Source organism: Homo sapiens, chromosome 15, assembly GCF_000001405.40.
Source record: "Homo sapiens chromosome 15, GRCh38.p14 Primary Assembly".
NCBI lineage: Eukaryota > Metazoa > Chordata > Mammalia > Primates > Hominidae > Homo > Homo sapiens.
In genome coordinates, this window is record NC_000015.10 from 35,862,079 (window position 1) to 35,875,029 (window position 12,951).

Here is a 12,951-nt window from a genome sequence, read left to right on the forward strand (position 1 = left end):
ACTGTGGCTTTAATTTTCTTTTCCCTTATTACTAATGGACTTGAACACCCTTTCATATGTTTACTGCCTATCTTTAATAAGTAGCTATCTTTTTCTTATTGATTTGTCAAAGTTTTACATTTTTAAAATGTCCATGTGAAGGAGTCCTTTATGAGTTACATATGTTTCAGATATTCCACTGTGTGGTTTGTATTTTAACCCTCTTATCAGTGTATTGTGATGAACAGATGATTTATTCAAAATTTTATTGTTTGCTTAGTTTTAAGTTGAATTTTTCTAGAAATTTTAATCTAGATTTTTAAATTTATTGGTGTAACATTAACATCTGCAGGATCTAGAGTGATGTTTCTTTTTCACATTGATATTGGTTACTAACGAATTTTTTAAAAATTTTGTCAGTTTTATCAGGAATTTAACTTTGTTAATCTTTATAAATTTAAATTAGTTTGATTTTGTTGATGTTATCTATTGAATACTTATTTTTAAATTTCTTTATGTATTTCCATCTATCCTCTGTCTTAAATATCTATTCTTTTTCTAATTTTTAAAGATGCAAGCTTTGAGTTTTAGTCTTCCTTCTTTGTTGAATACATACATTTAAAGCTATAACCCCCTTGACAAATAATTTTAGCAGCATTCCACAAGTTTTAATAGGTCATATTTCCATTATTATTTAGTTTCACATGTTATCTAAAACTATTTAAATTTTTCTTTGATCCTTGCATTTAAAAGTATATTGCCTAATTTTCAAAAATATGGGGATTTACCAGTTATAGTTTTACTGATTTCTATCTTATTTCCATTGAGAACTGAAAATCATATAATATGAAGTCATATTATATATTATTTTGAAATTTTATGAAATTGTTTTATTGCCCAATATATGGTCAATTTGGAAAAAATGTAATATATCCTTAAGAATGTATATTCTGAAATTGGTGGCCACTTTGTTTCATATATTTCAATTACATTTCTTTTTGATCATATCATTAAATTTTTCTATGTAGCTTCCAAGTTTTTATATGTTTTATCACTTACTAAAAAAGATGTGTTAACTCTTTATTGAAATTGTTCATTTGTCTAATTCTTTAGTTCTGTCAATTTTTACTTTATGTATATTTGAGGGTATGTTAAATGCAATACATTTAGAATTATATCTTCCTGGTGAATTATATCTCATCATTATTAAGTGTTCCTTTTACCTCTAGCAATCCTTTTAGCTTTAAATTCTACTGTGAATAATATTAAAATGAGCTTTTGTTGTTTATTTCTAAAACTTTTGAATCCTTGTATTTTAGATAGATATCTGAAGCAATATTTACTTGGGTTTTATTATTTATAATTGTCTGGCAATCTTTTTGTCTTTAATTGAAGCATTCTATTTATGTTTAATTTATTGATTGATACATTTGGCTTAAGTCTACTATCTGTTCACCTGGTTTCTTCCATTTACTCTTTGTTCTTTTTTTTAAACCTTGCTTGTTTTCTATTAGAGTAATTATTTTTCATAATTTTACTTATTCTGTTAGGTTGGAAATTATATGTTCATTTACTGTCCTTTTGATTATACTAGAGCTAACAGCATGCATTCTTGACTTACATATGTTTAATACTAATTAGTACTCTTATCCTCTTGTAGAATGCAAAGACCTTACAATAATTTTATTTCATTTATCCCTACCTTCCTTTTAGAACAGACATGCATGCACACACACATACACATACATTCATAAAACAATTATTACTTTTGTGCAGTCAATATTGGTTAATATTTACTCTAATGTTTACACAGTTTGTTGGTTTTCACTCTTTTTTAAATTTCTAGTCTTCTATCGGAGACATTCTCGGGGGAGAGTTAGTAATGCATATTATTAACTATAATCAAAAGTGAAAGTACTTTCCATACATTTGTCCTAAATCTTTCCCAGTCTAACATGAATTTGAGTATTTTGTTGATTACAGTAGTTATTTATATAAAGTAAGCTGGAGCATGTAAGTTATTTTACATCTTGTTGATCTAAGTCTTACCATGACCTGTGTCTTAGGTTGGGTTCCTCAGAGGCAGATTCTCTGATGAGGATTCTTGTGAAAGTGATTTATTTAGGAAGTGTTCCTGGGAAAAACTGGTAGGGACTTAGAAGAGAAGGATACAAGATCTAAGAATGGTAACTTTGGCTCCGCCACACAAAGGTGCTCTGAGGACCACGTGGGTCACAACTTAGAGGTATTCCAATCAGTGGCAAAAGAAGTTAAGATTATTTAGACCCCTGTACTGGCTAGTCATTGTTTAAGGGATGCCCCCAAAGTAACATAAAGCCCCCTACTCCCTGCCATCCATTTGTAGATGCAGAGGCTGGGTATTTGCAATACAAGCACACTGGGAACTAGTATACTTCATGAGAAACCCGACGGGATATAGGCAGACAAATGACTGTGTCTGTTACAATCTATATGACCCTGCCTTGATCAACGTTCATGGATACAATTCAGGGTATCCAGGAACTTCAATGGGAAGAAAAAAATATGTTTTTGCTGACATCTAATGAAATTTAGCATTTTTCAAAATTATGAAAGTCATAATACTACAGTACCTGTAAAGTATGTGTTCCTAAATAGCACAGGGCTTAGCATGTAGTAAATTACTCAATATATTTCATTTTTGAAAAATGTATGAAAAAGCACTGAAATTAGCTACAAATTAATATCTGTTCTAGCCATATTTCCAAAGTAAACATCCTAGAATTTGACTAGAAAGTGAACATGTTGCTACAATCTCTGCATTCACTACACTGCAAATAGTAACCATTTTAGAAGTATAAAAATGACCTGCTTCACTAGTCAAAGATATGAGGAGGATTAATTCTAGTAGATAGCCCCTGCCCAAAGTTTTGACTAATGTTAAAAAAACAGCAACCAAAAACTCAATTAATAATGGACATTTTTCTAAAATCCATATCTATAAAAGGAAAGGGTGTTTCCCAAAGCAAAATCGGGCAGGTATGTTGTCCAGAACCAGAGAGTTTAAAAAATAATCTGAAATTTCCTTGTCTCAGATGAAATAAATCTGTAACCAAGAATCAGAGATAATGAATCCTTTTGAGTCTTATTTTAATATTACTTGTGGAATATAGTTTTGTATCAGGAAAGCTATCTTGGATCCCACCTAAGGAAATTTCAATACTGAAGAGCCCAACAATAACATTACAGGCCAGTCAGGTAGTTGTGGTGGTTTGGCTCCATGGGAAACCTACATAAATAGACTATAATGTATATTGGTTTATCCTATTTCCTTCCTGGTACTCAATATTCTCACCCAACCTAAGAAAACTTTTTTTTTTCTTTTTCTTTTTTTTTTTTAAAGGAAAAAAAAAAAAAGCTGTGTCCAGCTTTATGGTCTTCTGAATATTGTGGAAAGCTTCAGAGAGTCCTGTGAAGACCTTTCCCTACTGACTGTTGCCTCAAGTTCATTTTTATGTGGGGCTAAAATATACCTTCTTCTTAGAAAGACTGTTCAACTCCAATTATTTCCTGAATTTAATAACTAAATCTCAATTACATTCCTAGCAGCCTCATTTCTTCCTGGGCTTTGTGCATTCTTTCGGCCAGAAGCTCCCTTGTATATCAAAGGCAGCTCCTTGTAGAGAAAGGGGACGTGAAGGGGCACAGGAGCCCGGAACCTGACCCCATGTTACTGCCTGTGCTTGAGAAAGCAGAGAAGTTAAAAACACTCACTAAATAATTCCCTTTAAATCAGAAGAAAAATGATTTTTTACAGTTAACAGTTAGATGCATGATGATTAATGTTTTCAACCTTGAGGGCAAACTCTGCCTGTTTAGTATAAATTTTTTATTTCTGTGTTTCAAGTGAAAAATATCCTGGGGTCCTTTTGAATTTCAAACAATTAGTCCAAATTCAAAATGTATTAGGTTAATTGTATATTTTAAATTTAATTTTAATATTCTTTGACTCTGAAATTGATAAGCTAGCATTTATTTGCTCTGGAAATCTTTCAAAGTTTATGACAATCTTTTATCCTTTTTAAGTAGTATTAATGCTTAATGATAAAAGCCTGGCCTAAGGAGGAGATAACATTTAAGAACTATATGAACCCATGGGGCCAGAGCATCAACCACCTATCTGGTCTATTCCCTTCCCATGAGTATGTATTGTGTATTATGGAATTTAGTGTGGGGCTTCCTCCTCTGGGGGACAGTTGACTTAGACATAAGTGGTAGACTAGGCAGAGGTGAATGTCATCATTAGCTGTACCACTGGATTTCACAGAAAGACAAAGGGACCAATTTATATGGTCTTTGTATGAAGGAATAAGAGGTAACTGCCTATTTTTGTCCATACGAACATAAGAGAAAAACCTCAGTTAGGATCCCTGCTCATCTGTTTATACTCTGGGCAAGTATAAATTTCCTCAGATGTTAAATATAGAAGGTAAAATCTACCTTAATAAGTGGACATAATAAAAACAACTCAAAGCTTCTGGAAGGTAAATAACCTTAGGGAGGTACAGCTGTGTATAGGAAATGTTATGTGTCTTTTATCTTAGATTTTTAAAATTTTTTATAGCAAGAAATAGTGAAATTATAGGATTACTTTGAGGTTTTTAGTGTTCTCAATTTAAAAAAATCAGTAGAGGTCCTTTTTGGAAAGAAATCTTCCATGAAACTTCAGTACATAAACAGATGAAAGTGGAGCCACTCTGCTTAAGTGAAAGTGAGAATGCAAAGCCCCAGCACCTTGGTTTTCTCTTCCCTCCTCAGTGACCCCCCACCCCACCCCAGGCATCTCTAAGAGGCTCTGGGCTCCAGGGAATAGTGATTGAAGCCACTTCAATAGGGGTTAGTGTGGACCATAAAAGTAAAGAGCCTAGAACTGTGCCAGTTGTGCAGCATTTTCTCAAGTAATGCTAACTATTAACGTTATTGTCACTGGTTGTTCTTCAACTTTATTCTGGAAGAGTGGGATCATTTATCAGAGTAAAAATGAAATAGCGTTTTCTTTCCTAAAAAAGCATTTATCAATTCAGTTTCTGTCATGGAATCAGTAGTCCATGCTGCTAATCAAGATATTCTGTGTTGAGCCTGAACTGGCTAGTCAGCTAGTGTTGGTGGCTAAGGATTACACGGATTCACTTTTTCTGATCCAAACTATGCAGGTATGGGGGCAGCTGTAGGGGAGTCAGCCCAGATTTTCTCAGGCTTGCTCATTTAGTTTTAGTGGGACTACCTGATTGCCCATTTTAAAAGCTCAGCCTTGTCTAGTTTTTTAAGATCAAACTTGACTTTTGGCAGGAGGAATGAAGAAGCTCTAGCTTAGCACTTGGGGATTCAGCATTGAAATTCTAACTCCTTGCCTGTCTGAACCTTTTGACTACATTTTGAAAACCAGGCTTCCAGGTATAACGGAGTTGACTTATACCAGCTCATGAGAGCCAATTGTTAATTTCTCAGGAATTCCAGCTAGATGATGTCACATAAGTAGCTTACAGTCAGCCACGTTGAGAGCATTTATACTGCGGAAACTCACAGACCCTGAAAATCGGATCTTTCCCCTGGAGCATACCACTAGCTTAGGAACTAGCCACCAATTTATGCTCCACTTCTTATGACTAGATCTCCATTATTCCCTAGACCTGAGTTCCTGTGGTGATATTGTAAAAATATTTATACGCTTCGTTCTCCTCAGACTTTCTCTCCAATGTCAGGAGTTTGATTTTGTATCTTACCTCTAGGCTGGGCCCCTTTTCCCTATTACCTGCTCATAGATCTCTCCCAGTGCTTATCTAGCTAAGATGATAAATACATCACCATTACCTAGATTGTCTTATCTCGTTGATTATAGGTCTTGAACCATCATCCTGTATTCTGCATTAGGTTATGTAAGACTCCTGAATGCCTGTTTAAATGCTCATTTATTGAATTTCCCTTCACCAGATGTGTATTGTCTCAAAGTCTGCAATTCATTCCCTTCATTTTGTGGTTCCTAGTTTGCTTTATCCTCTTACTAATGTCTTTTGTTCTGTCCCAATTAACTGAAATAACTCAATAGTCTTTCAAAAGTTGTGAATACACCCCTCCTAGAAATCTTTTTCCATATTATTAGGCTTTAAATTATTTAAATGTAATTTGTTAGCAGCTTTAATTTTAAAACCTAATTTAGGGTTTTAATAAATAATAACATTTAATATCCATAATGAAGTTTCACCATATATAAAGTATTTAATTTCTTAACACAGCATCTATATTTTCTCATAAAATAACTAACATTAATTGTTGCCGTCCATGTCCCAAACATTGTTCCATGTGCTTCACATGCATTAATTCACTTAGTCCTACAGAATTCCTGTGAGACATGTACTCCTACCAGCACCATGACTGTTTAAAGATGCCATGCCAATGTCAGGAAGTTACCCTATATGGTCTATAAAGGGGAGGCATAAATAATCCAAACCTTGTTTAGCATATAATCAAGAAATAACCATAAAAATGGGCAAACAGCAGCCCTCAAGGCTGCTCCATCTATGGAGTAGCCGTTATTTATTCCTTTGCTTTCTTAATAAACTTGCTTTCACTTTACTCTGTGGACTCACCCTGAATTCTTTCTTGGGGAAGATTTAAGAACCCTCTCTTGGGGTATGGATCGGGGGGACCCCTTTCTGGTAACATTGCTTCGATTTTAGCAGAATTCATGTTTTTCTGATAGGGACTCTTTTCAAACTGATGTCTTAGCCTTCTCAATGCCTCAAGCTAGATCTTGTTCAGACATGTTTTAACAAGTTAATATGAGTTTATTTTGATGTAAAAAATTTTGAAATCCATGCATAGTTTTTTCATAATACACATTTTCCATAAAATTTTGACTCCTTGTATATAACATATAGACATGTTTTATTATAATGCTTGCACAATTTGGTAAAACTGAGGTTCTAGAGTATTATTAAGGATATAATAATTCTGAAAAAGTTTCTTTAATGATATCTTGCCATTTACCTTCAGAAAACAACACCAAATCCTATCTATTCAGGTCATGAGATTTGGCATATTGAGTAGAAAATGATAAAATTGAATTGCAACATACAAGGATGAAGAGGAAATATGTAGTTCTTAATCTTTAAGTCTAGAGTATTTTCTGGAAAGCTCACAGGAAAAATGACTGGACATATTGAAAGACCTCAGGAATCATCTGTGTTAAATTGTTTTTCCTCCAGTTGCTTCCTATAAACCTTGTAATTTAAGAATGACTCTACAGAGGGTCAGGCCACCATTCTAGCAAAGAACAGAGTGATTCACTGAATAGCCCTGATTTCAATTCTTAGTGTGGAATCAATTCTGAGTAGAATCGGAAAAAGCAGAAAAGGGTGGAAAGTAAAGGAACATTTGTAAATGTCAGTTCATGTTGTAGGGGTTGTATCTTCCTTGGGGTTCTCATCACAATTGCCCATCAATTGAATTTGTAGAAAAAAACATGTGACGCCCATGGGAACACATTAGACAGGCAACTGGAACCTCTAAAATGTGGTTTTCACTTTGGATCCTCTAAGCAGGAGACAGACCTAGAATAATGAGCCTGGCCTGCTTTAGGATGGATGCCACCTTTGTCACAAGTTAACTTACAGGTTAACATAATTTATCTTCTGTTATTGCCGGAAAATTGTGGAAAGGGATCTGTTGCTGCTTCTCCTATGATACTATTTAAAAAGTAAATGGTTGGACCTCTGAGATCTGTACTTAGATCTGTTCTGCCTATCCCTACAGATACTACTATCATCAGTTTCCAGGTGAAGAAACTGAGGCTCAGAGAGTGTAAATGATGTGAGCCTATAGCTAATAAATGGTGGATCTGAACTACCAACAAGGTCTACAAACCAAGTAGGTGGTTCCTAGTGTTAGAGGAGCCTTTCAGGTCATGTTTGTCATATTTTTATGAGTAAAAAATAAATGTCTGTGATATCAATTTCAGTGGAATCAAATGTGAATGGGGGAAAGACCTTGCCAAGCAATTGTGGCACAGACAAATAATTTGTGTTTTTCCTTTTTGTCTTTGGTTGGCACTTTCTCTTTGTTGCTCTCCTACCTAGTTCCCAGGACCACTACCTGTCTTCTAGATGCACAAGGCCTTCTGCTTTGATATTCTACCTGTTTTACTCAGCACCTACCAGAAACCCTCCCCCATCTGTGCTTTGACTTTCTCTTCCCTTCATATGATAATGTACTACTCCTCTTTCCTTGACTCTTAAAACCCCAAATCCTGGTGTGTGATGGTCTGATAAGCCAACTCTTGCTGCTGTCTATCTAAGAAAGTATGAAGCAATATCTTAACCAAGTCAAATTCAACATTTTTAAAGAAAGTACTTCTAGGGCTGGAGTACTACCTGATAGGAGTTCCATTTCCAGCCGAGGATGCTTTGGTGTGTTTAAGTCAAATAGGTAGAGGCCTAACCCACTTATATATAAAGCCAGCCCTGAACATTGGCATTTATTTAAATACCATTTAGGGACACTCAAGTCTTCAATACTGCACACACAGATTCAAATCAAACACACGCACTGACATTTCCCCACTCCTTCCCTAGATGCTCATAATCTTTAAGGCCAAGCTGATGTCGGGAGAACCCCAGAGAATGGAGATGTTCCTATGGGAGTTTGCCTAATGGAGCCACTGGCATTTCTTAGTCAGCCAGAGGAGTGCTGAAAGTGATGCCTTTACAAAGTCTCCAGGGATTTTAGTTAGCATGGAACTCAGTATAGCAGTCTGCTCAGACCAGATCCAAACTACGTAAGAAATAGTGTATGGAAGACTGGACTCTCTTTCATCTCCCAGCTGCAAATTGGTATCTGCTATGCAAGGGGCATTACAAAATTACAAAATCAAGAATAACTGCTACCACTAATATTTAGCATCAAAAAAAATTTTCACATGCCTGCCCTCTTTTGATCCCCAGAAATATTTTTTTCTTTTCTTTTTTTTTTTTTTTTTTTTTTAGATCTAAAATTTTGATGAGGCTTAGAGGTACTGGCACTTTTTTTTTTTTTTTACTGGGACTTTTCCAAGGCCACCTAGCTGGAGGTTGACAGAATATTTTGTTGAGATTTTAACTTGTGTTTTGTTCTCATTTTTCCAACCCCACCTTGAGGTGGTAACCTCACCTTTTTGTTCTGGGACCCTTTGTGATGGAGTTAAAATAAAAATAACCCAAGGACAGGTTCCTTTTCTGCTTTGTTTTCTAACCTGAACTCTTTGAGGGGATTATCCCAAGGAAATGGAGAGAAGTGAGAGCCTTGGAGGAAAAGGAAAGGGTGATTTCCCCATGAGGCAAAGCAGCAGTGGTTAGGGTACCTTGGGGTGGGTGCTTCCCCTTCTGCACAGGGCCTAAGGGTGGGAAGACAGGATTTCAAAGGGAAATGACTTAGGTGTGATTCACCTAAGAAGGCTGGGCTACAGCTACCAAGGTACCAAATTCCACAAAGATATACTGCTGAAGAAGATAGACACAAGCCTGCCTCTCAGGGACCACATGGGCTTGAAGATAGTCAGTGGTGGTAATCACAGACCAGAAAGACCGCTGTAAATGTCTGCTTTGCATGAAATCACAGAATACTGATGTCATCCTGAAGTGGGGTGAGAGACCCTATAGTGACTGTGATTAGTTTGGTGGGACAGGACTACTGACAGTTTTAATATGGTCTGAAGACCTGAGTTTGTTGAGTAAAGTGTAAACCTATTGATCTGGGGAGTCTGGCACTGCAAATTTGGTTGTCTTTCTATAGCACTTGCTGCTCACAGAGTTTACATTTAGATGGAGAGTGGGAAAGATCCAGCAGTCATTGTTCTGTACGCCTGTAGCAAAAGAGAAATCCATGCCCTGTCTCTTATTAAATTACACAGGATTTAATTCTGTGGCCATGTATCGCATGGTGCTTCTGGATGGCTATATCACTCGGCTAGTATCAGAGGTCTGGGATGGCCATATGGGCAGGGCTGAATAAATGGATCTCAGGAAACATGAAGTTGATAGCTTTCTGTAGTGGGAGTAATGGCTTATAAAACACATTGGAGGGGACTGCAGGAATTGTTTAAGAATCAAATTGCTTATTAGATTTTCCAACTCCTTGAACAACTTCTAATATTTTCTAGACAGAGCCATCTACTTATCCCTTCTGCCTTTTGATGATGAAACATAACAATTTTATTGTTATATTGCTTCAGAGCTGAAAAATTTTCATGATTCTATGTTTCAGGAAAAATCTTTGATCCCCAACTTAAATTAAGCTGACGCTAAGAAATAGCCTACACATTTACATGTTGTATTTGGTCATTACACTAAAAAAAACAAAAAAGGGGGAGGGGTTAAGCAAAAAAAAAATCTCTTAATCCCTTATCTCCTCCATCTCTTCCTCCTTGTCTTCTCTTTTCAGTACGTAGACCTCAGAGAAACACAGAACCACAAATTACTGTGGGGTGAAACTCCTACTTAATAATGACATCCCTTAAGTTGGCAAAAATCTGCCAACATCTACAAGCTCCTCTAGAGTTGTGAGCCAAAGTTTAAAATCATGTGTGACAGTGTTGTGGAAAATACAGTTGATTCCAGTCTGATTGTGTCAGTTCCAAACAGAGACAATATTGATGATGCTGAACAGTAATCTTATTGGGCTTGGACCCAACTGAACACTGGTCTTTGTCAACTCATTATTCCTCTATCAGAGGGATCTCCACAGATTGATCTTGCCAGCACCTCTTGATATGTCTCACAAATCACTATTCTCCTGTTGGCAGGCAGATTTGAGTACTGCACAGTAATTGCTGGGGCTTGTTTCCCCTTTTTTCTGTCTCACTCCCTGCCAGAAGACAGTGATTACCTATTGCAAGTCATTGTCATATGAAAGACCAAAAAAGTCCTAACAAGATAGAGTAGGTAAGTGTACAGTCCTTGTTGATGCCAAGAGTTATGGCTATACCATCTGATGCTTTTGGATTGGCAAAATAAAGGATTAAAGCCTCTATTTTCCTTTGATGTTATTAATTTGAGGGGTCCCTGAACTTTTCAGAAGTCTGCAGCATTGCCTATAGGAAAGTTCTGCTCTGCAGTAGAAAGGTCTAGTTTGGATGATTAGCGTTGTCTCCTCATTTTTAGCAAGTTTATTCATTTATTTATTTATTTTGAGACGGAGTCGTGCTCTGTCGCCCAGACTGGAATTCAGTGGCCTGATCTCGGCTCACTGCAAGCTCCGCCTCCCGGGTTCATGCCATTCTCCTGCCTCAGCCTCCCGAGTAGCTGGGACTACAGGCGCCTGCCACCGCGCGGGCTAATTTTTTGTATTTTTAGTAGAGACGGGGTTTCACTGTGTTAGCCAGGATGGTCTCAATCTCCTGACCTCGTGATCCACCCGCCTTGATCTCCCAAAGTGCTGAGATTACAGGCATGAGCCACCATGCCGGGCCCATTTTTAGCAAGTTTAAAGTGTATTGTCTCATAAATAATGGTGAGTGGGAGGCACAAGACATTGCACATAACATTTTGGACTAAAGACACTGTCTTCTGTGATTTGAACTTCCCTTCCTCAGGGCTAATTTGACATTCCCTAGAGACATAAAAGCCTTCAGATATCAAAATGAATTCAGTATAAGATATCAAAATGTAAATGGATTTCAGGTGAATTAGTCAGGATAAAGTCAAGTCTTTATTATGGTGCTAGTGTTAGTTTTCTTCCTGGACGAGATCCTTTGCCAGGCAGCATGTATTTTTGTCTTTGTTGGATTACCTGGCTAATTGGAAGGGAGCAGCACCAAGGATAATCCAGTATCATGTGGCTTCACAATGTATGTTCTGTGAATTTGTAGCACTTTTAGCAAGTTAAGTTCTTAACTTCTAAGCGGTCATTGCAGAAAGGGCCAAAACCCTATGGCATCAGTGGTTTAAACAGCAGGGGCTACTTGCCTGGTATTTCCACATATGGGAAATGGACATTGAGGCCTCTGGCTGAGACTCCTTCTTTCCTTCTGATTCTCTTTAGCTCTTTAGCTTTTCCCACTCAGACCAGTATCCTATGAAGAATTACAATGGCTGAAATAAGTGATCTTCAGTAAAAAGAGGTCATCTACGAGCTTAATACAAGTGAAAATCACGTGCAAAAAAATTGTATATGTGTCTTGGAAGTTTCTGATAATAATGCTTGTGAAACTAGTAGAATCTTAGATATTGTGACTTCCTTCTTGCTTTCTGTTGCTTCTGAAGTGAGCAGTGTGTTCTTGGCAGGAGCCAAGCCTGAACAACAAACTCCATCAGGAAGCCATTTGATGATGCACTGATGTCAGTCAGAGAAGCTGAAAGTTGTGCAACCTCTCTACTGTACTCCTTAAATGCTGAGTCACTCCCTCCACCTGACTCTATCCCAAGGATAATAGGTTCACATGATGAATCAGCCAAAATAGAACTCACTGCTGCTGCCTTGATTTGACTATATTTAGTTGTCACACATTTCCTGGGTTGGTGAAGGTAGTTGACTGAGTTTTGAAGGGCCTCCTGCTGGGTGGCAGGCTGCATGGGAAGGCAAAAATAAACAAAAGATAGTTAGCTGTACCCACATATATCAAGCTCAATTATCCCAGCAGAACTTGAAAACAAGATTTATAGCAGAAGATTGACAGTGCAGATAATGGAGAGCTGACTGTTCAAAATCTGTTTGACACCATGATCAGAGTGTTGCCAGAGGTGGGTACCAAGGCAACATCTCACTATCTCCTCCCCCTCCTTCAGGAACACTTTATGTGGGTGAAAACAGCACAACTTGGTCATCATGGTCAGCCTTGAAGACACACTGAGTGACCCAGTAGGAAGATGAGGGGGTCATCTCAAGGATTTCTGGTTAATCTTGGTTTTTTAGGTGAGAGTATTCCTGAGCTGATTGGATTTGTGAAGGGGAGCCTGATTGAGA

The 12,951-nt window shown here is 37.1% G+C and overlaps 1 annotated feature.

Moving 5' to 3' along the window:
• Positions 11,601–12,800: an enhancer, noted in NCBI's record as "MED14-independent group 3 enhancer chr15:36165880-36167079 (GRCh37/hg19 assembly coordinates)". NCBI's record gives its function as "activates an origin of replication core promoter dependent on BRD2, BRD4, P300/CBP and CDK7 cofactors, and independent of MED14, by STARR-seq in HCT116 cells {active_cell/tissue: HCT116}" and the evidence as "EXISTENCE:reporter gene assay evidence [ECO:0000049][PMID:35650434]".